The sequence below is a fragment of the Homo sapiens genome, chromosome 8 (assembly GCF_000001405.40).
Source record: "Homo sapiens chromosome 8, GRCh38.p14 Primary Assembly".
NCBI lineage: Eukaryota > Metazoa > Chordata > Mammalia > Primates > Hominidae > Homo > Homo sapiens.
In genome coordinates, this window is record NC_000008.11 from 101,460,612 (window position 1) to 101,487,045 (window position 26,434).

Consider the following 26,434-nt stretch of genomic DNA (forward strand, 5'->3'; position numbering starts at 1 on the left):
TGAGTCTATATGAATTGTTACTCTACAGGCCCTGGTTCTCTCTTTTTTGCATATTTCATAGCACACAGGAAAACTCAGCTGTAACAACCTTCTATTCCCCCCACCCTCTCCACCTCTAGTCTTCCTTTCTAAGGTTTGGTCCTTCTGCTAATGACAAAGGGGGCACCAAGAGGGAGGGCTTTTCTCCCCAAGATCCTTTTGTTCCCAGCATGGGCTGGAGTCAGGGAAGGGGCAGGCTCACCCCTGTCAGAGACGGAGCATTGCAAACAGGAGCCTCTGCTGTTTTCCAAGTTGGAAAACCCTCCTGATGAGCCAGATCGTAAGCAGAGATAGGGATACCACTGGCCAAAGTTTCTCAACCACTCTTTATTTTTGGCTTGCATATTCACTGTCAAAGATTCTCATTGTTAAGAAGCAGTCTGAAGCCTTTTTATACGCATTTAAGCAAAGTGATGTGCTTTCCCTAATCCCTAGGAGAAGGGAGGAAAACCAATGTGTATTAAATTCTTAATACGTGCTAGGTCCCTTAAAAACACCATCATTTTAAACTCTGTCATTTGTGATGCAGTGAGGTCAGCATTATTAGTCCCCTTTACACAGATGGTTTCAAGCCCAACTGTGCCAGGCTTTTGAATTTTGCTCTTGTTCTCTGTAGCATGCAGCCTCTTTCTCTATTTTCTCCTTTTGGCCCATCATTCTCTTACTCAATTCTCTTGCCTTCTTTCCTAAGGGGAGGTTTTACCAAGGACAACATATTTCCCACACACTCTACTTATTCCCAATGACAGGGCAGTTGCCCCTGGATGAGGCTCCCTGAAGGCTTTATTAAAAGCTTGGGAATTTCTGATCTGAACAATTACAACCTGATGGTGTTTTACGACCAGAAGAGAGGATAAACCATAGTCCATTCCATGATATTTCAATCTTGCATCTCTCCTCTAGCTGTTCTTATGCTCCTTCTTGATAACAGGATGGCATTTCAGTTCCATCTTCGGTCATAAAGGCTCTGGAATGAAAGACAGCCAAGTCAAAATGCAGTGTGTGGCTTTTCATCGGTGACTTCAGTTTTCACATTTCTAAATTGAGGATAATCATGGATTGTTGTGAACAGTGCAAGAAGCAATGTAAGTAAAGAGCTTAGTATGGTGACTGCTCATAGAAGATGCCTCAGTAAGCATTTTCCCTCGTTTCCCTCCTTCTTCATCCCTGGAAATTGGAGACCAAGCGGGGGTGCAGAATCATATGTCTGCCAAGGGGATACAGTCGTGTTACAGGAAAGGGGTCCCGATCCAGACCTCAAAAGAGGGTTCTTGGATCTTGAGCAAGAAAGAATTCAGGGTGAGTCCATAGAGTAAAGTGAAAGAAAGTTTAAGAAAGTAAAGGAATAGGCTGGGTGTGGTGGCTCACGCCTGTAATCCCAGCACTTTGGGAGGCCGAGGCAGGCAGATCACGAGGTCAGGAGATCAAGACCATCCTGGCTAACATGGTGAAACCCCGTATCTACTAAAAATACAAAAAAAAGAAAAAAATTGGCTGGGCTTGGTGGCGGGCACCTGTAGTCCCAGCTACTTGGGAGGCTGAGGCAGAATGGCATGAACCCAGGAGGCCGAGTTTGCAGTGAGCCGAGATTGTGCCACTGCACTCCGGCCTGGGCAACACAGCGAGACTCCATCTCAAAAAAAAAAAAAAAAAGAAAAAAAGAAAAAAAAAGAAAGAAGAAATAAAGGAATAAAAGCTGGGCATGGTGGCTCATGCCTGTAATCCCAGCACTTTGGGATGCCGAGGTAGGCAGATCACCTGAGGTCAGAAGTTTGAGACCAGCCTGACCAACACGGAAAAACTCGTCTCTACTAAAAATACAAAATTAGCAGGGCGTGGTGGTGCATGCCTGTAATCCCAGCTACTTGAGAGGCTGAGGCAGGAGAATCACTTGAATCTGGGAGGTGGAGGTTGTGGTGAGCCGAGATTGCGCCATTGCACTCCAGCCTGGGCAACAAGAGCAAAACTCTGTGTCAAAAAAAAAAAAAAGTAAAGGAATAAAGAATGGCTACTACTCCATAGACAGAGCAGCCCCGAGGGCTGCTGGTTGCCCATTTTTATGGTTATTCCTTGATGATATGCTAAACAAGGGGCTGATTATTCATGCTTCCCCTATTTAGACCATATAGGGTAACTTCCTGATGTTGCCATGGCATTTGTAAACTGTCATGGCACTGGTGAGAGTGTATCCATGAGGAAGACCAGAGGCCACTCTCGTCACCATCTCGATTTGGGGGATTTTAGCCGGCTTCTTTACTGCAACCTGTTTTATCAGCAAGGTCTTTACGACCTGTATCTTGTGTCAACTTTGTATGTCATCCTGTGACTTAGAATGCCTTAACGGTCTGGGAATGCAGCCCGGTAGGTCTCAGCCTCATTTTACCCAGCTTCTACTCAAGATGGAATTGCTCTGGTTCACACAGTTTTGACAGTCTGGCCTCCAGTTCAGCCATCAGCAGGCTGTCGGGATGGTGAGGAAACTGAGCAGGTCAGTGGCTATGCATGTGAGGCAAGTCCTCTAGTCTTTGCCCTTTCCTCCAGCTCCAGTGGTATAGGCCCGGGATGACCACCTCACAGACTTCACTGATCATGTGACTAAGAACGGGCGGTAGACATTGGGGATTGTGGGAAGAGAGCTGTTGGGGCTACCAAGACTGGAGCTTGTATAAAATCCAACCATGGGAGTGAAATGGAAAGAATGTGGGTTTTGAATTCAACCAAAAATGCTGGTGTTTGTCTCCACTATGTATCAACTTTATCTTCAGACCTGTGATTTCACTTCTCCATCCCAACATTCACTGAGCTGCTAACACATGCCAGGCACCTTCTTACTCACTTTTTAAAGTTTTTTTATTTTTGTGGGTACATAGTAGGCATATATATTTATGAAGTACATAAGATGTTTTGATACAGGGCATGTGGTGTGAAATAAGCACATCATGGAGAATGGGGTATCCATCCCCTCAATAATTTATCCTTTGAGTTACAAACAATCCAATTGCACTCTTTAAGTTACTAAAAAATGTACAATTGAGTTATTATTAACTATATCAGGTACACTTTTCATATATAGTTTTTGTATATAGCAGGGCTTACATTCATAAACATTCTGGAAGATGTTGTCATATCCCAGTCTATTTTATGCCACTGCTTAGCATTTACTTGCTTAGCAAATAGCTGAGCCATATACTCACCCTCACATTGTTTATATTCCAGAGGTAATTTGAGGTGTAAGTGGGTTATCAAGCCTAGTATATATTGTCTTCAATAAATATCAGTTCCCTACTCCTTTAGCCTACGTCACTTTATTGTAGGCCATAGAGTTCAACTATTAAGTTGAATGACATAAAACTGACATTTAAAAAATCAAAAATGGTAAAATTATTGCAGAAATAGTAAAGCCCATACTAAAATTCATATGGAATCCCTAGGGACCTAAAATAGTCAAAAATCTTGAAAAAGAAAAACAAAGCTGAAGGACTCACACTTCCTGATTTCAAAACTTAGTACAAAGTTACAGTAATCAAAACAGTATGGTACTGGCATAAACACAAACATATAGGCCAATGGAACAAAATAAAGAGCCCAGAAGTAAACCTTTATATGTATATATGGTCAAACAATTTTTGAGAAGAGTGTCAAACCCATTCAATGGGAAAAGGACAGTTTTTCAACAGACGGTGCAGGGAAAAGTGGCATATCCACATGCAAAAGAGTGAAGTTGGACTCATCTAACACCATATAAAAAAGTCATTTCAAAATGGTTCAGAGACCTAAATGTAGAACTTAAAACTATGAAACTCTTAGAAGAAAACATAGGGCAAAAGCTTCATAGGCCATGTGCAGTGGGCTCACACTTGTAATCCCAGCACTTTGGGAGGCCAAGGTGGGTGGATCACCTGAGATCAAGAGTTTGAGGCCAGCGTGGCCAACATGGTGAAACCCCGTCTCTACTAAAAATACAAAAATAGGCCAGCGCGGTGGCTCACGCCTGTAATCCCAGCACTTTGGGAGGCTGAGGTGGGTGGATCACCTGAGGTCAGGAGTTCGAGACCAGCCTGACCAAAATGGTGAAATCCCGTCTCTACTAAAAATACAAAAATTAGCTGGGCATGGTGGGGGGCGCCTGTAATCCCAGCTACTCAGGAGGCTGAGGCAGGAGAATCGCTTGAACCTGGGAGGCAGAAGTTGCAGTGAGCTGAGATTGCGCTATTGCACTCCAGCCTGGGTGACAGAGTGAGACTCCATCTCAAAACAAAAATTAGCCAGGAGTGGTGCTGGGAACCTGTAGTCTCAGCTACTTGGGAGGCTGAGGCAGGAGAATCACTTGAACCTGGGAGGTGGAGGTTGCAGTGAGCTAAGATCACGCCACTGCACTCCAGCCTGGGCACAGAGTGAGACTCTGTCTCAAAAAAAAAAAAAAAAAAAAAAAAATAGCTTCATGACATTGGACTGGGCAGAGATTTTTTGGATACAACATCAAAGGCACAGACAAAAAAAGAAAAAAATAGATGAACTTCGCAAAAATTTTAAAATTTTGGGCATCAAAAGGCACTATCAACAGAGTAAAACAGAAACCCACAGAATGGGAGAAAATATTTGCAAATCATATATCTGATAAGGAATTGATACCCAGAAATCTTAAAAATTAATAACAACAACAAAAAACAACCAGATTCAAAAATGGAGAAAGGACTTGAACAGACATTTCTTTAAAGAAGACACACCAATGGCCAATAAGCAAATGAAAAGATGCTCAACATCACTAATCATTAGAAAAATGCAAGTTAAAACTATAGTGAGATACCACCTCACACCCATCAGGATGGCTAGTATCAAGAAAACAGAAAATAACAAATGTTGGCAAGGATACGGAAAAACAGAAACTCTTGTGTACTGTTGGTGGGAATGTAAAATGGTGCAGTCACTGTGGAAAACAGTTCCTCAAAAAATTAAAAATAGAATAACCATAGCCATTCTACTTCTGGGTATATACTCAAAAGAATTGAAAGCAGAGTCTCAAAGATGTATCTGTATATACCCACGTTCACAGCAGCATTATTCACATTGGCAAAAACATGGAAGCAACCCAAGTGTCTACCAACAGAGGAATGAATAAACAAAATGTGGTGTTTTCATATAATGGAATAGTATTCAGCCTTAAGAAAAAAAAAGTCTGACATGTGCTATAACTTGGATGAAACTTCAGGACACTATGCTAAGTGAAATCAGCCAGTCACAAAAGGATAAATACTGTATGATTCCACTTGTATGAAGAGGAGTAGTCAAAATCATGAAGACAGAAGCTAGTGTAGTGGTTGTCAGGGTTGAGGGGAAAGGACAATGAGAAGCTATGGTTTAATTTGTACAGAGTTTCAGTTTTACAAGATGAGAAGCGTTATAATGATGGGTGGTGGTGATGGTTGCACAACATTATGAATGTTTTTAATACCATTAAATCATATGCTTAAAAATGGTTAAGATGGTAAATGTTATGTGGTTTTTACCACAATTTAAAAAAAATACATTTAAAAGTGGTTAAATAGCAGCTATTGTATATGTCCTAACATAATATGGAAGGAAGAAGGCTTTCTTTAATATAATGCAGAAATAGCCGGATGTGGCGGCTCATGCCAGTTATTCCAACACTTTGGGAGGTCGATGTGAATGAATCACTTGAGGCCAGAAGCTCAAGACTAGTCTGGGCAACATGGCAAAACCCCTTCTCTACGAAAAATACAAAGATTAGCCAGGCACGGTGGTTGCACCTGTAGTCTCAGCTACTAGGGAGGCTGAGGTGGGAGGCTTGCTTGAGCTCAGGAGGATGAGGCTGAAAGTGAGCTGTGATTGTGCCACTGCACTCTAGCCTGGGTGACAGAGCGAGACTCTGTCTCAAAAAATAAGTGAATAAAAATAAAGCAGAAATAGTAACAATAACCTACCAGTGGAAGCTTGATTAGATTTGTTTTTCTTGACTTCCTAGGAAAATGATTCCATGCCTTGCTTTGTTAAACCTGGCTCTAAAAGCAAGGCGTCAAAACAGACTGTTGAACGCTCACTGAGGTAGAAAACCAAAGCCCACAGCAGTGTCCCACATTAGGAGCCAATGGGTGAAAATGAGGGATTGGAAAGGTGAAACAGCAAACGGAGGAAGGCTGACTGGCGCGCTGCCTGACTGGACAGCCTGACACAGCCACCAGCCTCAACCCGGGTCAGGGAGACCTGTGGGGCCCTGTCTCTTTCCCTGAAGCCAACAATAAAGTGACAGGCACCCAAGAGAATATACTGCCTGTCTGAACCCAGATGAAGCACCGTCAAGGGGGATTGCCAGAAAAACGTACTCTGTCCAAATGTAAGTTCCTTCCACAAAAATTGGGCAGCTTCTAGAATTTAACTCTATTAGCATCTCAATACCTCCAAACATTTGATTACCAGAGCTCATCAATAGCTGCTCTCAAGGGCAATTATCTATCATTATCAATGTATTGCCTTACCCTTTTAATTAGGATGTTAATGTCCAGTGTAAACAAAGCCTTCTTTGCTAATTTCAGCTGTGCACAATGAAAAGCCCTTTTTTCTTTTCCATCCCCTAGGGTTCTGTGGACTGAATTTACTCTAGTTCCTGAAGTGTGGAAAAAGTAAACAAGGTTTTGTTTGGATTCCAACCTTAAGTTTCTCTGGACTAAAACCCAGCAAAGTGGCAGAAAGTTATCCCAAAGAAAAAAAAATTGTCCCTGAGGTATGAAAATAATTTCAGAGAATGTTACGAAAACAAGCAAGAAAATCCCCACAAATCCAGAGGTTTTTTTAATAGTTAAAGAGATGAGAGGGGAAATGTTTGGCATATTTTCAATTGCTTTGTATTACCACAGAAAGGTAAACAATTTTAAAATCATGTTAAATTTTAGCTAAACAGGTATTCAGGTCATTAACAAAGGGTTCCTATCCAGATTAACTATTTCATACGGTTATATCAATTTCTGACACAGGGACTTAAAACAATCAATACAAAATTTCTGAAAGAAAGATGAGATGAAACAAATATCAGAAATTTAAAAATACATGCACATAAAGAAACAAAAATCATCTACATAAGTGATCTTAATATTTCTTTGTTGTCCTAGCGATCCATGGAGTGGTCTGGTTAGTGAAAATTGCCTTATCTCTGGGGAATGTGCTAAGCGTTCCCAAGGTACTGGTGTCCCTCACTGGACACAGCCAGCTTGACTCTGGAAGAACCGCCTGGCACAAAGCAATCAGGCAGTGGGCGTTCCCTTTGACAGGCTGGCTGTCTTTACATAGAACCTACTGGAAACATCACATCTGCCTGGCCTATTTTGAACATTGTTTTGAGGCTAAAATGGGGCAAGACTCATTCAATGGTTTGAAAGTTTAGGGGAGAAAATAATTTGAAACAAAAATGTCACAGTTCAGTGGTTAGATTGAGTGACTGTTGTATCCTTTCTCTCAATGTTGATTATTGAAATGAATTCTATTACATTTATAGTAGAAAAAATTAGTAAATGGAAAAACATATGATGCTACATAAGGTAACTTTATTTTTTATTTTTATCTATTTATTTTTTTGAGTCAGAGTCTCTCTCTGTCACCCAGGCTGAAGTGCAGTGGCACAATCTTGCTCACTGCAACCTCTGCCTCCCAGGTTCAAGTGATTCTCCTGTCTCAGCCTTCCAAGTAGCTGGGACTACAGGTGCCTGCCACCATGCCCGGCTAATTATTGTAGTTTTAGTAGAGACGGGGTTTCGCCACGTTGGCCAGGCTGGTCTCGAACTCCTGACCTCAGGTGATCCACCCGCCTTGTCTCCCAAAGTGCTGGGATTACAGGCATGAGCCACTCCGCCTGGTCCATAAAGTAACTTTTAAAAATCCTATCTTGGCCGGGCGTAGTGGCTCATACCTGTAATCCCAGCACTTTGGGAGGCCAAGGTGGGCGGATCACGAGGTCAGGAGATCGAGACCATCCTGGCTAACACGGTGAAACCCCATCTCTACTAAAAATACAAAAAATTAGCCGGGAGTAGTGGCAGGCGCCTGTAGTCCCAGCTACTCGGGAAGCTGAGGCAGGAGAATGGCATGAACCCAGGAGGTGGAGCTTGCAGTGAGCCGAGAGTGCGCCACTGCACTCCAGCCTGGGTGACAGAGCAAGACTCCATCTCAAACAAACAAACAAACAAACAAACAAAAATCCTATCTTGATTGCCCCACTCAAGGAGGTTTTTTTTTTACAATGGTTAATTCTTACTCCAATTTCCATTTGTAAATAGAGGTCTGGTTAATAAAGGGTAAACACATAAAGGCACTCAAAAAAATCTATAAAACCACTTCCATCTACCATCATCAAAAACTGATTGTTTTTTCCTTTTCTGTCTCTTATCAGCAAAATCCTTGAAAATTGTCTTTGATATATTTCTTATAAATGCCAAAAATACATTTGAATGTGCAAATATGTCTTTAAAAACACATTTTTCTTTGATTATAAAAAGTAATACAAGCCTACAGAAATTTTAGAGACTATAAAATAGTACCACCCCAAAGTATCACCCATAAACCTACAAACTGGAGTCAGCCATTGTCAATATTTCTGTGTAATAGGCAATTTGTCCCCAGACAGGGAGCCAGGATGGCTGGGAGAAACCTTGGCTTCCCAGGTTGAGGGGAATGCATGACAAAGCTCAGCTGAGTTTGCCACCAGACCTATTATGCTCCTTATAATGTAAGTGATTTACTTGAATATTACATAAACTAAAGGAATATGAGTGTGAAGACAAACAGAATTGTTCTTTTGCTTGTTTATTTATTTATTTAGAGATGGAATCTCACTCTGTCACCCAGGCTGGAGTGCAGTGGCACGATCTTGACTCACTGCAACCTCTGCCTTCCAGGTTCAAGCGATTCTCCTGCCTCAGCCTTCTAAGTAGATGGGATTATAGGCGCCCACGACCACACCAGTCTAATTTTTGTATTTTTAGTAGAGACGGGGTTTCACCAAGTTGGCCAGGCTGGTCTTGAACTCCTGACCTCAAATGATTCACCCACCTCGGCCTCCCGGAGTGCTGGGATTACAGGCTTGAACCACCATGCCCAGCCAGAATTGTTCCTTCTATGCAAACTAAATTGAATGCTTTAGAAAGACTCCATCAAGGTAAGATTTTTCGAATCAAAAGTGTTCTGCACTCAGTGGGCATTGCAATTGCCTGATTCCAGATCAAATGACACCCTTCCCAGGCACTACAGGCCAGTGTTCCAGGACGGTAGTGGGCAGGATTGGGGCAGGTGGCTGAGGCAGACACATGGGCCATCACAGATGCTCTCTTCAGCCCAGTAAATCAGGATCTGGAAATGAACACTGTGTGGACTTCAGCTCCCCACCATTTGAGATAAGATCACTCACTCATCTGGAGAATCTCCAAATCTAGAGGACTGAAGAGACTCCTAAGGGTGTCTGCTAGTTCCATACACTTTTGAGTCTACCCCGGATCTTTTAATTGAGGAATCTGTGGATGACATTGATTAATGCTTTAACTAAACACCAGCTTGTCTTCCCCTGCCACCCCCGGGAAAGTGCCCCACCTCTCTCCCCTACCCCACCATTGGCTTTTCCTTTTGGTTTTCCTGATTTGAAAAGTGCTGGAGGCAGTTTAGGAATGAGAGAAAAACCATCCACCAAAGCTGTGTTGGTCCAGGACCCCGAGGCAGAAATACTTCCAAGTGTGGGATGGAAGGGAACATTGAGACAGCATTCACAGATGGGGCTGCAGTGGGGTGCCAAGGCTGAGGGACATCTCCGTCTCTCCTGGGTGCCTGTATCAGAAGCTTCCGAGCTACTTTCCAGCAGGCAGAATGAAGGGGACAGGTAGCAGCCAGCTCACTTTCCATCGCGGTAACTGCCCCAGTGGTCTGAAGTGGCTCCTGCAGTAGACTCCACTACCTTTGCCTATCCAGACAATTTCCCTCTTCCCAGTCTTGATGTGGGGGCCCTACCCTTATTCCATTGGATGCCTTCTCCCTGGGCTCTGAGTATTGAACTAGGAGCAGAAAGTGGCGTGACAGTGCCCTGTGCCAACCATCAACTCATCCCCATGGAGAGCCAGAGGAACAGCCCCAGCTCCTGTTCCTCCTGAGCCCTGATATAAAGGTTCCCCTTTGATTCTGTCAGCTGCCCATATACTTCTATAGAAATCCATTTCTGGCCAGGCGCAGTGTCTCACACCTGTAATCCCAGCAATTTGGGAAGCCCAGGTGGGTGGATCATTTGAAGTCAGGAGTTCGAGACCATCCTGACCAACATGATGAGACCCTCGTCTCTACTAAAAATACAAAAGTCAGCCAGGCATGGTGACAGGCATCTGTAGTCCCAGCTACTTGGGAGGCAGAGGCTGCAGTGAACCAAGATTGCACCACTGCACTTTAGCCTAGGCGACAGAGCGAGACTCCTTCTCAAAAAAAAAAAAAAAGAAAGAAAAGAAAAGAAAAGAAAAGAAAAGAAATCCATTTCTGATTAAAGTAGCCAGAGCTATTTTTTTTTCTCTGATTGTAATTAAAAAATCCTAAAGGACACAGCTCACAGCAGTATGTGTATATATGTTTGTGTGTGTCTATGCATATGTGCATATACGCACAGTTTGTGTTTTGCCCTCAAAGCACAGCCTGGGTCTGTGCATTTTTACAGTCAATAACTCAATAAAAACATCAATTCAGTTTACTGCATACATTCCTTTCACTAACATGTAGGCTACTAAACTAGGTACAGAAAATACAAAAAGGAATAAGATGCAATTATACAAAAAGGCATAAGATGCAATTACCTTGCTTCAAAGCACCCCCTGCCCACGTTCGGCCAGGAGAAAAATCAGATACATTTATTACACTGTTTTAGTGAGCACCTAGTGAATTATCAGCCCAGCCCTTCTAAATTAGTGATCTTGGTGGTGGTGGTGGCAGTGAGGTGGGGGGGTTGTGGGGCAGGGACAACCTGTCCCATGGAATCAATACAATACCTTATGATGTATTGCCATTGTGATCAGCCCAAGTGGGTTTCTGTGTTTGCAATCCAGAGTTTTAACTTTATGCTTTTTTCAAAGCATAAATCCCAAGTGCCATGGGAATCCAACCTAGAGAATGACTAATTCTCTAGGGATGAGAAGAGGCCTTGTAAGGCTGCCCGTAGGAGGTGACATTTCATTCCTCTTTCATGCAGGACCACAGAATGTTCCTTTACCTTTCCTGTTGCTATCTCAGGTCTTATTCTTCATGCTGCGCTACTCCAAGTTTAGCATGGAATTCTCTAGGTGAGATTCTTTTAATTCTATTTCATAATAGAAAACAAATATGTGCAAATGTACGTACCTCTGTTTTTATAGGTAGGGTAACTTCTCCCAAGATACTTACAGAATTAGGTATTCCAGTATGGGCATGTTTTGCTTTTATGTGATACTGCATTCAGTAGCTTCCACTTCTACGTTCCATGAATGTAGAACATATTACCATCTTGGATTAGGATGTGAAGCAAGTCTGACATTCACAGTGTTCTTCATAGGAACATCCCCAGCGGTCACACTTAAAGAGTTTTACCAGTGCAGGCTTACACGACATACACAGTCATAAAGCCAAATCTTTTCCTGTCATGGTTGCCATGTCTAAGAATTCCGAGGTTCCCTCTAAATTCTCATTAACACCATTCATTCATAAAGCTAACTAGAGGATATTGTTTATATCTGAACTCTCATCAAAGAATAACACATCATTGGTAATTTTATTTTATTTTATTTATTTATTTTCTCGAGACAGAGTCTTGCTCTGTCACCCAGGCTGGAGTGCAGTGGCATGATCTTGGCTCACTGCAACCTCCATCTCCTGGGTTCAAGTGATTCTCCTGCCTCAGCCTCCTGAGTAGCTGGGACTACAGGCACCCACCACCACACCTGGCTTTTTATTTTTATTTTTATTTTTTATTTTTAGTAGAGACGGTGTTTCACCATGTTGGCCCCGCTGATCTCAAACTCCTGACCTCAAATGATGCACCCACTTCGGCTTCCAAAATTGCTGAGATTACAGGCGTGAGCCACCGCACCCAGCCCATCACTGGTGATTTTAGAGGACTTGTCTGATTTGAAAATTTAGGAAGGGAAACGGGACATACTTATGTTGGCTTCCAGCTTTCCTTCCTTCTTTTGAACAAAATCTGCCTATGGGTTTGGTCTCACATAGTGTCAGTTTGCAGGTTGGGGACTGGAATTCTGGACTTCAACATGCAGGCTCAATTCTGCTCTCTTATGAAGTCACAACCTCAACTGTACCTCTCTCAATTGTATTTGACATTTGTAATTGTCTTTTGTAGTTGACATTTTGGCCTCCACCTTTAATCTTTATTTTGTTTCTCACCATGTTAGAACATAGGTAGGAAAAAAAGAGTGCAATTTATTGGGGGTCCCCTTGGAGACTCCAACAAACTATTTCTCTAATTTTTCCAGCCCTGTCTTCAACATGCTGAGTTACATTGTTTCTCAATGCTGGTTGGGGAGGATATATTTTGTTTTCTATGGTCAATAGATACTTTTTTTATAAATTCACCATCTGTAACAGGCTTAAATGTCCTGACATCAAATTTATAACTACATTGTTGCAGCAACTTTGCTTGTAAAAACAAACTCTTGAAGTGGCTATCCTCTTTCAGTTTGGTAACATTTTCATTCTGTGTTGTTTCATTTATCCTACCTCTTAATGTAGTTTTAAAAATGGCAATTGTTCATTTGTGTTCTTTAAATACAGTGATTCTTTACATAATAAACACATAGCAATTTTCTTTATTTTCATAGAGAAAGAGGATCTCTTGTAATTTCTTAAAATAGGTGATCCTTTTAGTGTGGCCTTTTTCCCCATTAATGATAAAGACATAGCTCAGAAAAAAATGTTAGAAAAATAGTAGAAGAGTGATTTTAAATGGCAGCTGACACCCAGCCTGAAGATTGTGGAGATGCAGAGCGTGGTAGAGACGGAGCAAATAGGAGGTGTCTATCTTTGCTTAAGGCCATTATTGCCATGTGGGCCCAGTGTTGTCAGATCATGTGGTTTTTTTTTTTAAAGAAGATAAAATCAGACTTTTAAGTGACATTTTATTTTAAAAATACTGTCTCAATTTTAAAAAAAGAAATCACTAAAGATATCAACAAAGTACATTTTAGGGCAGAATTCCCTATTCCCTCCCCTACCCCCAGGCTGCCAGTTTGTCTTTTTTTTTTTTTTTTTTTTTTGAGACGGAGTCTTGCGTCTCGCTCTGTCGCCCAGGCTGGAGTGCAATGGCATGATCTCGGCTCACTGCAACCTCCGCCTCCTGGGTTCAAGCGATTCTCCTGCCTCAGCCTCCTGAGTAGCTGGGATTACAGGCACGCACCACCACGCCTGGCTAATTTTTGTATTTTTAGTAGAGATAAGGTTTCACCACGTTGGTCAGGCTGGTCTCGAACTCCTGACCTCAGGTGATCTGCCCTCCTTGGCCTCTCAAAGTGCTGGGATTACAGGCGTGAGCCACTGCGCCCAGCCTAGTTTGTCTATTATCAGAGACAACAGAGGGCCTCTAAGGTTGTTTGGCATAGGTGGCTGCCTATATCATAAAATCTGTGGCAGGGAGGGTTGGGGCCCCTCTTAGGGACAGGCTGTCTTCCTTTCAAAGAGCTGAGATGCCTGCAGCAGGGAACGGAGCGGGTGGGGACAGTGGGCAGATCCTGGCTAAGGACCCATTTTGCATTTTGCCTGGGGCAACTCAGGCAGCTGGTGACTCACTGGAGAATTTTACTCTCAGGCTGTTCTTTCTCTCCCTCCTAATCTGCCTGTTCTCGCTGATTCTATTTTTTAAACCAGAGAATTTCAGACTCAGTTGAGATTCTGTAGATTGGTAAATTGGTAAATTCCTACCAGCTGAAGGACACAGCTAGACAGCTGAGACAAGGACACAATCGATTTAACCAAAAAGGCAAAATGCCTTGGATGAAAATAGAGCAGCCAGGAAAAACAAGAAAGGATTGCATTTATTATGGAAACATATAATCATTAAAGCATACCAAATATCTTGTTCGAAGTAGCATGCACTAATAAAAATAAAAGGAAAAGATTAAAAAAAGGAAAAAAAATCCAAAATAAAAGACCTATGAAACACTTTAAGCTCTCCTGTTAAGACTGATTTGACGTTCTAACAGGATGCATACTTAGCTACATATTACACAATATCCTCACACCTATTTTATTTTTATAAGCATCTTGTTTGAATAAGGTGTATTTAAAACAAGTTTTTTTTTTAAGCTTTGGAAACTACCCATATTGGGTAGGCAGTCTTTAAGACAGCCCCTGAAGATTCTGTGTCTCTCGTACATTTTTTTCTTACACTGCACCAAGATTGGTCTATATGAACAATAGGAAACAGCAGAAAGAATAGTTTTTCACTTCCAAAATCAGGTTATGAAAGATGCTGTGACTTCTGTTTCTGTCTCTCTCTTTCTCTCTGTCACTTGCTTTAGGGGAAACCAGCTTTTGTATGTCGTGAGGATATTCAGACATCGATGTGGAGAGCTTCACAAGGCCTATAATTAAAGCGTGCCCAACAGTCTGTGGAACAACCATGCGATCCTCTGACCTTCAGATGACCACAGCCCCTGCTGGTAGCTTGACCATAAGTTCATGAGAGACCTTGAACCCTGGCTGAGCTGCTCCTGGATTGCTGACTCTTAGAAACTATGTGGTATGTTCAGTGTTTGTGTTTTAAGCTGCTAAATTTTGGGATAGTTTGTTACACAGCAACAGACAACAAACATACCATTGTTTCATTTTAAAAATGCTTACTTAGGCGGAGCACAGTGGCTCACGCCTATAATCCCAGCACTTTGGGAGGCCGAGGCACGTGGATCATGAGGTCAGGAGTTTGAGACCAGCCTGGCCAATATGGTGAAACCCCGTCTCTACTAAAAATACAAAAAAAAAATGAGTGGTGCGTGGTGATGGACGCCTGTAATCCCAGTTACTCGGGAGGCTAAGGCAGGAGAATTGCTTGAAACCAGAAGGTGGAGGTTGCAGTGAGCCGAGATCACGCCATTGCACTGCAGCCTGGGCAACAAGAGTGGACTCTGTTTCAAAATAAATAAATAAATAAATACAGTTAAAAAGAAATAAAATGCTTACTTAGTTACAAATACATACAGAACTCTTAAAATTGTTACTTTTGGTGGGGCGTGGAGGCTCACGCCTGTAATCCCGGCACTTTTGGAGGCCGAGGTGGGCAAATTACATGAGGCCAGGAGTTTGAGACCAGCTTGGCCAACATGGTGAAACCCATCTCTACTAAAAATACTGGGTGTGGTGGTGCACGTTTGTAATCTCAGCTACTCAGGAGGCTGAGGCACAAGAACTTCTTGAACCTGAAAGGTGGAGGTTACAGGGAGCTGAGATGGTTCCACTGCACTCCAGCCTGGGTGACAAAGAAAGACTCTGTCTCAAAACAAACAAACAAACAAACAAAAACAGCTGAAAAATGCAATATTTAATGTGCAGAGCAGAGCAGTTCAACTGGTGCACAGAATCAGTGAAGGGGAATATTGGGGAGTAAGATTGAGAAAGGTAAATTGATGTCCTTTTATTCTTGGCCCTTAGTGCTGGGACGAGCAACCAGTGAGCCAAGCACCAGGTGGTTGTTAATTGTCTAAATCAAGATCCAAACCAGGTCCACAGATTACATTTAGTTCTTTGCCTTTTAAATCCATTTTAATGTAGGTTCTTCCCCTCTCCAACCTTCACATATTTTCCCCCATGCCACTGACTTGTTGCAGTAACTAACTCTGCTGCCTGTAGGCTTCCCAACATTGGAGATTGTTTTCCCTTGGCTCTTTGGAGTGCCATTCAACTTGTTTTCTTATCTCCCTTATTTCCTGTAGGCATTAGCTCTAGAGGCTTGATTCAATTCATCTTACTTTTCAGACAAGAACACCTCAAAGGTAATGCCATGGGCTTGGCCATGTTGGTCCTTCAGGAGGCCCATCAGGTCTGGTGATGTTAAGATTGATCAACGGGTTTAGGTGGTGACCAACTCATAGCTCATTCTAAAGTTTCCCATCAACACTTCGCCATATTAATTTCATTCATTGATAATCACGGCTGATTTTTGAAGAGTAATCTCTGATACAACGATACACTTGGTCCATTGGTCACAATTTACCTACAAAAATTCATGTCATTCTTTGCCCTGAATCCCCAGAAGCTACAGCTTCCACTCATGGCTGTATCTCCAAGCCTTAGACAAGTGTTTCTCAAACTCTAATGTCCATACAAATCTTGTGAAACTGCAAGTTTGATTCAGGAGGTCTGAGGTGCAGCCTGAGATTCTGTACTTCTAGCCAGCTACCAGGTTATTCCAACAGCAAACTGGTCTGCTGCTGCACTCTAAGTAGCAAGCCTTTAGTGCGTCTCTAACATCTGACATCCAGGCAGGAGACAGAAGGAGCTGTAGGTCACTCTGAGAGATCCTCCCTCATGACTGAAAGGCCAACTGCCTAAGAATTAGAGAGGACACCTGAATTAGGTAACACTGTAGGGCTCTCTTCCTGGCAAATTTGCTGTCTCCCAACCTGGAAATCTACTACGTGGGACCAGTCATGGCCTCAGATGCCTCCTTCACTTGTCTTCTGCTGCTAATGCCCGAACACATGACAAGACCCCCCCCACCAACTGGGCTGGAACACCTAGATCTAGCCATGTCCTACTCCCCACCCCACAAATATCTCTGCCCAGATCTCTGCAACTAGAGATAGACAAAGTACAGTGGGAATGTACCGTGCTCTGGTTGTCTCCAAAACCTAGTATACTGAGAAGGGCATGAACCAGAAACTGTCACAGAGGCCTGTCTAATATCTCTGTAGTACCCTGAGAAATGTCAGGGCTTTTTGCCAGGACCATGTAGGAAGAGCTGACACCACCTTATGCAGGGGAGGGAGGGGCCGTGCTAAGACCAGGTCAGACAATAAAAGCAAATTATCCCATCAGCAAATGCTGCAGATGATTGTCCTAGGTTTTTCACTGTCTGAATCTTATGCTCCCATTTGGTTTTCACTCATTCACATCTCTTGGCTTGAGATCCTAGATTCCTGGTCCAGTTTTCTTTTTTCTTTTCTTTTCTCCTTCTCTTCCTCTTCCTCCTCCTCCTCCTCCTCTTCCTTCTGCTTCTTCTTCTTCCTCCTCCTCCTCCTCTTCTTCCTCTTCTTCTTCCTCTTCTTCTTCTTTCTTTTCTTTTCTTTTTTTTTTTTTTTTTTTGACCGTATCTCCCTCCATTACCCAGGCTGGAGTGCCGTGGTGTGATCACAGCTCACTGCAGCCCAGGCTGGCCTGGTTCTGTTTTGATGTCTCTTTTCAGCCTCCTTAAGTTTTCCCTCCAAATGTCCTTTCTGGTATTTTTGACCTGCTCTCCAAATGTTTAGACATGGCTTAGGTGGTCAAATTTGTGACTGGGGCAAGGGTTGGGAAGGGGTCCCAAGGCTTGGACAAGAATGATTCTCTTCAGTCTGTAGCTCTGCAGACCTCATATAAGGCTACACCCACCTCGATTCTTCTTATGTGGAAGACCGCTGGGGATGGGTTCAGGCAATTGGGGTTAGAGGAAGGTTGCAACTGGTATGTTAGGTTGCCACATGTGTACTGAGGAATTGCTGAAGGTTTTCAAATAGGGTGGAGGAAGTTTCATGATAATAGGTTATTTGAATATGTTTTTCCAGTTTGAGACATTTCCAAGATGTTGAGGCATCAACAATAAGCATATTTCATTAAAAATCTCAGAGGGAGCATTCTGTTCTGCTGTGGCCCCAGCCATGGTCTCTGGGTTCTCATTTTGGCATTTTCCCTTGGATAAATGTTATCTCAGTTTATTTATAGCTCATTTAGCCCATCAAAGCAATAATAATAATCCCCAAAATAGAGAGAGATGCTCTGATGATCAATAGGTTACATAAAAAACATTTTTGCGCAGAGTGAAAGTCAAGAGGGTGCTATTATTAATACAACCTCCCACAACCACCCTCTCATTCTCTGCATCTACCCAGTTTGTGTTATTTCCTTCAAGACCTTTCCTCAAGTATTTTTCCTCTCTGAAGCCATTCCTGACTCAATCTACCACATCTGTATACAGGAACAGGAACAACTTCATATTCAAGTCTAGGAGGTGGTGTGGTATAGGCTTTGAAAAAGGGCAGATCTAGGCTGGGCGCGGCGGCTCACGCCTGTGATCCCAGCACTTTGGGAGGCCGAGGTGGGTGGATCACGAGGTCAGGAGATCTAGACCATCCTGGCTAACACGGTGAAACCCCTACTAAAAATACAAAAAAATTAGCTGGGTGTGGTGGCGGGTGCCTGTAGTCCCAGCTACTCGGGAAGCTGAGGCAGCAGAATGGCGTGAACCTGGGAGGCAGAGCTTGCAGTGAGCCGAGATCGCACCACTGCACTCCAGCCTGGGCAACAGAGCGAGACTCCGTCTCAGAAAAAAAAAAAAAAAAAAAGAAAAAGGGCAGATCTAGATTTGAATTGTAGCTCTGCTACTTACATTATCCAAAGTGAAAGTCACATTTATTATCTGTACTATGAAACTATTAATATTGTGGTATCACTGTTGGGTTTGTAAACATTATTTCATTTTATTATACATAATTTTTTGAGGTGGGGTCTTGCTATGTTGCCCAGACTAGAGTGCAATGGTGTGATCACAGCTCACTGCAGAGCTCAAGCAATCCTCCCTCCTCAGCCTCCTGGGTAGCTGGGATTATAGGCATGCATCACCATGCCCGGCTAATTTTTTTTAAATTTATTTTTAGTAGAAACAGAGGTCTCGCTGTGTTGCTCATGATGGTTTCAAACTCCTGGCCTCAGGTGATCCTCCCACCTTGGCCTCCCAAAGTGCTGGGATTACAGACTGTGCTCAGCTGCTGTTGGTTTGCTTTTGTTTTTGTTTTGTTTTTTGAGATGGAGTCTCACTCTGTCACCCAGGCTGGAGTGCAGTGGTGTGATCTCAGCTCACTGCAACCTCTGCCTCCAGGGTTCAAGTGATTCTCCCTGCCTCAACCTCCTAAGTAGCTGGGACTACAGGCATGAGCACCTGACTAATTTTTTGTATTTTTAGTAGAAATGGGGTTTCACCACATTGACCAGGCTCGTCTCGAACTACTGACCTCAAGTGATCCACCCACCTCGACCTCCCAGGGTGCTGGGATTACAGGCGTGAGCCACCATGCCTGGCCCTGTTAAACACCTGTCTCTCACTTCTTTCTTGCTAAGATAACCCTGATTTGTTCAACTATTGGGTGGAGATTTTTTTTATCTCATGGACAGTGCTTCCAGCTCCTGAACCATTCTTGTCATGTGACCCAATTCTGGCCAATGAGATACAAGCGGAAGTCTGATGAGCGCTTCCGGGTAAAATGTTCATCCTGCACTGTCTACCTTCTTTATGCCTTTAAATTTGACTATGCAAGGACATGATATTTTCTACCATGAACAGTAGACTAGTGCAAAAACACTGATTCAGAGCTGTGAATTATGGAGTTGTTGATCTAATGTCAGCAATTGCCTCCCTCTGTCCCAGGCTCCAGATCTCTTACCGTGCAAGAGAAGTTAAACAGTCTTGGCAAAGGTCCTACTAGCCCTGCTAGCTGGCTGCTCTTTGGTTTGCTGTAGAAAGCATCCTTAACCCTTATAATTACCATCTAATAGAGTACTGTTGAGATTTAAATGAGGAAACCAGTTCACCTGGAGTATAGCAGAGGCTCCATAAACGTTTCTGGAATTTATCTGCTCGACAATGTTGATGAAGGTGCTCAATGTGATGCCTCACTCAGTTGAAGTTCCCCAACCATGGACTAGTTGTAGAATGGGAAGGGTACTTGTAATTGAGAGTGTTTGTCACTTATTCATTCATCAGATATTTACTACCTGCCAGCTATGCACTGGGGAGATGATGGTGAACCAATAATAGGCATGTTAGTTGCCTTCATGGAGCTTAGAGTCTAATGGTGGGAGATGGTTGGTGATCAAAGACCACACAAGTAAATGTTAAATTACAACTGTAATTCAAGAAGAAAGATGTTGCTCCATACATAAATTATGGAGAGATGTATCTTTCCAAAATACCTATCTCTCATCGGGAGAGTCAAAGAAGTTTCCCTGAGGAAGAGATGATTGAACACTGACGTGAAGGAAGGTTGGGAGCTAGTTGGATGAAGGAGGGAAGAAAGTAAGAGTTTTGAGGAAACAGATCTGTAAATGGGCAAAAGAGTGGATGGTATGTTTGCAATTTGTACTTTAATTTCTTAAATTAACTTTATCTTGATTAAAAGTGTGTGTATATGTATATATGTGTGTATAAACTATACATGTATATAAAACTATATATGTAGTTTAAAAGTCAAGTGATTACATTGATTAATAATACTGAAAATAATATTGTTTATAATGCATGCCTCACTCCTATCCATTTGCCAGTCCTGCTTCTTAGAGGCAATTCTTTCTTTCTTTTTCTCCCTTTCTTTCTTTCTTTTTCTCTCTTTCTTTCTTTCTTTCTTTCTTTCTTTCTTTCTTTCTTTCTGTCTGTCTGTCTTTCTTTCTTTCTTCTTCAATCCTCCCACCTTTGCCTGGGACTACAGATGCACGTCACCATGCCTGGCTAAAGGTTTGTATTTTTTTTGTAGAGACAGGGTTTCCCCATGTTGCCCAGGCTGGTCTTGAACTTCTGGGCTCAAGCAATCCTTCCACCTTGGCCTCCCAAAGTGCTGGGATGACAGGCGTGAGCCACTGTGCTTGGCAGCAATTCTTTTTCATCATTTGAACTTTCTCTTAAAAATTCTAACATTTACTCCTGCATTTCCAAATAATATGCTGATTTGCTAACCCAGAACACATTTCCAATTCCTTCTTTCTTGCCTGCCTTAGGGCTTGGAAAAGCTTGATATCCACTCTTCCAGCCACTCTTGCAGATAGGGGTGACTGTGTGATCCAGTCCTGGCCAATGGGACATCAGATGAAGATATGTTGGAAGCTTCTAATATCAATGCTGGTATTGCTTTTTTTTAATGAATACCATAGCTGAGGCTAGCATCACTCCTCCCTCCTTCTTGCTGCCTTAAACACAGATGTAATGGTTACAGTTGAAGGGATTATCTTTTGCCCATAGGGAAAAGGCCAAGAGAATCTTGGAGATACCAGAATTGACATCACTGAACATCAGTTCTGAAGCCAGTGTTGCTAACTTTGAGACCATCATTTATTCAAGTGAGAAAAACTAAATTATATTTTTCCTAAAAAACTCTTAGCCTTGATTTACTAGCAGCCCAACACATTCCTAACTAACACTAATGCTGCTACTTCATGATTTTTAAATTGCAGGCAGCAACTATGGACTTACTACTATGGCAGCTGGTTTAACTCTTCCACAACCCTCCACTTCCTTTTTATCCATACAACTTCAGTACCTTTCTCCCTTTACCTTTCCAATTGAGTTTTATCACCAATTTTAGCAAATTATCATTCAGTAATTCTATTACTATGACCATATGAATATTATTCAGTTGAGCCAAGTATGTATTAAGATTAATATGATTATATTTCCATTCTTGTACTTTTTTTTTTTCCTGGAGCTACTGAATGCTAAATATCTCCTTCATTTTCCCTGTACCTATTGATAATATTTTCTGTACTCACAAAGACTATCAATATAATTTCCTACAATCTTAAATTTAGTAGTTGGATTCTCCCCCTCTATTTCATCCAGAGACCTCTGTTAAAGGAGAAGTTTAGTTACTCTCTAAGCTGGCTACAAAGCCGTCGTTCTCTGACTTTCCTTTTTTTTTTTTTTTTTTTTTGAGACAGGGTCTCACTCTGTTGTGCAGGCTGGAGTGCAGTGGCACAATCTCAGCTCACTGCAGCCTCTGCCTCCTGTGTTCAAGTGATTCTCATGCCTCAGCCTCCCAAGTAGCTGGGATTATAGGGGTGCACCACCACACCTGGTTAACAGAGATGGGGTTTCACCAGTTTCAAGATGCAGCCTCAAACTCTTGGCCTCAAGTGATCCACCCACTTTGGCATCCCAAAGTGCTGGGATTACAGGCATGAGCCACTATGCCCGGCCCTTCCTCTTTTTCCGTTGGCTACCCTGTTTTCTGAGTCTTAAGACTATTCCTTTTTTTGGTGTTTTCCCATGTTTTAATGAAGGATATCATCCAACACCTTTCTGAGAAAGAGTGCATGACAGGCAATTTTTGACACCTTGTGCTTCTGAAATTAAATTTTATTCTACTTTTATACTTCACTGATAACTTGTTTAGGCATAGAATCCAGTATTTAAAGGCATTTTTCTAATCTCTTCAAGCTGGCAGTATTGCTAAAAAGTCTAATATATTCTGATTCTTGACCCTTCATGTGCAAGCAGTTTTTCTTTGCTTACTTCATTTTATTTTCACTCTCTGGAAAGTTCAGTCAAGAAGTTTAATAATCACTTCAATTTATGCCTTTCAGAATTCACTGGGCTGAGCATTAAGGGGGTCCTATCAATAAGAAACATAATGCTTTATTTAGTTCTTAAAAATCATATTTTATCTTTTCTTTAATAATTTTCTCCCATTATTTTTTTCTACTCTTTCTGAAACATCTGTTAGCCACATATTATTGTTTCTTAATTGACTGTACACTTTTCTTTTCTTTTTATTGTCCATTTTGCTGTCTTTTTGTTCTACTTTCTGGGAGATTTCCTAGATCCTGTCTTTAAACATTCCATTAAAGACTCTATTTCAGCTTTCCTATTTTTAATGTTCAGAAGCTCTTTTGACTCTCTGATATTTGTTTTTGTTGCATTTATTTATTTATTTATTTATTTATTTATTTATTTTGAGACCGTGTTTTGCTCTTGTTGCCTAGGCTGGAGTATGATGGCGTGATTTCGGCTCACCACAATCTCCGCCTCCCGGGTTCAAGCGATTCTCCTGCTTCAGCCTCCCAAGTAGCTGGGATTACAGGCATGCGCCACCACGCCTGGCTAATTTTTTGTGTTTTTAGTAAAGACGGGGTTTCTCCATGTTGGTCAGGCTGGTCTAGAACTCCTGACTTCAGGTGATCTGCCCGCCTCGGCCTCCCAAAGTGCTGGGATTACTGGTGTGAGCCACCACGCCCGGCCTTCATTTTTAGTTTTTTGAGACAGAGTCTCACTCTGTCACCCAGGCTGGAGTGCAGTGGTACGATCTGGGCTCACTGCAACCTCCGCCTCCTGGATTCAAACAATTCTTCTGCCTCAGCCTCCCAAGTAGCTGGATTGCAGGGGCCTGCTACCACGCCCAGCTACATTTTGTATATTTTGTACAGATGGGGTTTTGCCATGTTGGCCACGCTGGCCTCGAACTCCTGGCCTCAAGTGATCTGCCCACGTCGGCCTCCCAAAGTGCTGGGATTACAGGGGTGAGCCACTGCGCCTGGCCCTTTGTTGCTCTTAAATAGTACATTGTTCTTGTTTCATCGGTGTGTTATTTGTTTACGTATTAATTATATACTCTTTATTCCATCCCTGTACTATCAGTTTTTCTCAAAGTTATTCTTTTAGTTAGACTTTTGTTCTGGTGTTTTTACTTCCTTTTGGAGGCTTTTCTCAAACACTGATGATCTCTGACCTCATGTTTATATTTAAGTGTGGTATAAGAAGCTCATTAGAGGCTCTGTGTGAGGGTGGAACTGAACGACTTTTTTGAAGGGAGATATGGTAGACAGCAAGCATCTTTCTTCCTTTTTTTCTCATTCCTTTCCTTTTTTTTTTTTTTTTTGAGATGGAGTTTCACTCTTGTTGCCCAGGCTGGAGTGCAGTGGTGTGATCTCAGCTCACCACAACCTCCGCATGCCTGATTCAAGCGATTCTCCTGCCTCAGCCCACCGAGTAGCCGGGATTATAGGCATGTACCACCGCGCCTGGCTAATTTTCTATTTTTAGTAGAGACGGGGTTTCTCCATGTTGGTCAGTCTGGTCTCCAACTCCTGACCTCAGGTGACCCGGCTGCCTCGGCCTCCCAAAGTGCTGGGATTACAGGCATGAGCCACCGCACCCGGTTCCTTCCTTTCTTTTCTTTCTCCCTCCCTCCCTCCCTCCTTCCCTTCCTCCCTTCCTCCCTTCCTTCTTCCAGATTGGGGAACACCTACACATTCACATCTGTAGATCTTTTTCTAGGACCTTGTAATTTATTTAAAGAAACATCTTCTGATCTCTTGCCTTGGGGGAGAGGCATGGGTGGTGGTGGTATAAACTTGGCTCCTGGCTTACTAAGCTGGGTGGAGGAAACTATGAGATGATATCTCACTGATTAGCATACGATCTTTCACTTGCTCTCCTTCTTGTAGGTCCAGTGGCTCTCTCCTGATAGTTCCCCTGATGTACCCAAGTGGGAAGTCCTCCTGGTTCAATTTCACTACAGTACACTTTGTCTCCTGCTAGCATGGAGGAGGGATGGAGTTTTGGGCTGAACTGTATCTCCCTAAATTCAAGTGTTGAAGTCCTAACCCCCTCATACCCCAGAACGTGAGTGTATTTGGAGATAGGGCCTTTAAAGAGGTAAATAAGGTAAGATGGAGTCAAATGGGTGGGCCCTAATCCCATATGTTTATAAGAAAAGGAGATTAGAACACAGACATGTGGGCTCACAGTGAAATGACCATGTGAGGACCCGGTAAGATGGCTGTCTGCAAGCCAAGGAGAGAGGACTTCAAAAAAAGTATCTCTGCTGGCACCTTGATCTTGGACCTCTATCCTCCAGAACTGTGAGAAAATAAACTTTTGTTGTTTAAACCACACTATCTGTGGTATTTTGTTATGGCAGCCTGGAAAACTAATATGGATGGGAGCTTACTTGCACTGGGTGGAGGTGGTGGCCTAGGGGCCTAGGGGCCTAACAGCTTTGTATCTGGCTTTTGAATCAATCCCTCTGGCATCAGCCCTATCACTTACTCCCACCTTCAATGATAATCAGACACTTGATTTTCTAGGCCAAGCTTGTCCAGCCCTTGGCCTGTGGGCCACATGTGGCCCAGGATGGCTTTGAATGCAGCCCAACACAAATTTGTAAACTTTCTTAAAACGTTATGAGATTTTTTTTAAAGCTCATCAGCTATTGTTAGTGTTAGTGTATTTTATGTGTGGCCCAAGACAATTTTTCTTCTAATTTGGCCCAGAGCAGCCAAAAGATTGGACACCCCTGTTCTATGCCTTTCTGATGTTCTACAGGCTAAATGGTCATGATCCTCAGTGTCTGCATATGATTAAGCTCATCTGTCTCAATTCTGCTAAATCAGTTTTTACTCCTTCAGTCACTTTCCAATTTCCCAATTTTGTTGTCATCTTTAATACTTTCATCTCCTTCCTTACTCTTCTATCACTGAGGATTCAGGAAGGACTAGAGGGCCAGGATGTGGTGGCTCACGCCTATAATCCCAACACTTTGAGAGGCCAAGCATTGCTTGAGCCCAGGAGATTGAGGCAGCCTGCAGTGAGCTAGGATTGTACCACTGCACTCTAGCCTAGGTTATAGAGTGACTCCTTGTCTTAAAATTTAAAAAAAAAAAAAAAGATGAAGGAATAGAGATAAAGATACATGCTCAATGCTGTTTTAACAGGGTAGTGCTTTCTGTGAAAGGGTTACCTATGGCCAGTTCCAGCAACAGAAACACTTGCTATCCTTAATAAATATACAAACCTCAGCTGGCTGCTGGCTGAAAAAGAGGCTCCAAACTGCAAGGCAACTGCCATTGAATGTTCAGTTGGTTAAGTTATACATCCTTAGGTGGATTTCAAATTCAGGCATCCAGGTATATTTTATTCTTCTCCAGGTTCCTTCTTGGGGATAATAGTCAATTTAATAAATTAGTGTTTTTATAGTGCAAAACAACCTAGGAGGAGATAGTACCTGTCATGGCTTCACAACAGATTCAATGGCAGATCTGCTATACTGGCCCCGCATATGATGACATATGGTGGAAGACGGTCAGCAGGCAGACTTGTTCAACTAGATCTGCAGCCCTTTAAAACTGGATTCTGGCTGGGCGCGGTGGCTCATGCCTGTAATCCCAGCACTTTGGAAGGCCAAGGTGGATGGATCATTTGAGGCCAGGAGTTCCAGATCAGCCTGGCCAACATGGTGAAACCCCGTCTCTACTAAAAATACAAAAATTAGCCGGGCGTGGTGGCAGGCACCTGGTGGTGGGCACAGCTACTCAGGAGACTGAGGCAGAAGAATCACTTGAACCTGGGAAGTGGAGGTTGCAGTGAGCAGAGATCACACCACTGCACTCCAGCCTGGGCAACAGAGCAAGACTCTGTCTCAAAAAAACAAAA

General features: G+C 42.7%; 1 long non-coding RNA gene across 3 annotated transcripts in view, besides 1 other annotated feature; it reads right to left on the bottom strand.

Annotated features, from left to right (window-relative positions):
* Nucleotides 70-364: a silencer, noted in NCBI's record as "tiled region #9085; K562 Repressive non-DNase unmatched - State 22:ReprW". NCBI's record gives its function as "represses a minimal TATA promoter and a strong SV40 promoter by Sharpr-MPRA in K562 cells {active_cell/tissue: K562}" and the evidence as "EXISTENCE:reporter gene assay evidence [ECO:0000049][PMID:27701403]".
* Nucleotides 347-26,434, bottom strand: part of GRHL2-DT (GRHL2 divergent transcript) — a 31,748-nt gene continuing 5,660 nt past the window's right edge. Inside the window, exon 2 of one of the 3 annotated variants that reach the window (NR_186782.1) lies at nucleotides 347-1,006. This is a non-coding gene — a long non-coding RNA (GRHL2 divergent transcript). Of the gene's footprint in view, nucleotides 1,007-14,066; nucleotides 16,593-26,434 lie in introns of those variants that run through there. The other 2 variants (NR_186785.1, NR_186786.1) reach the window with 2 other exon arrangements.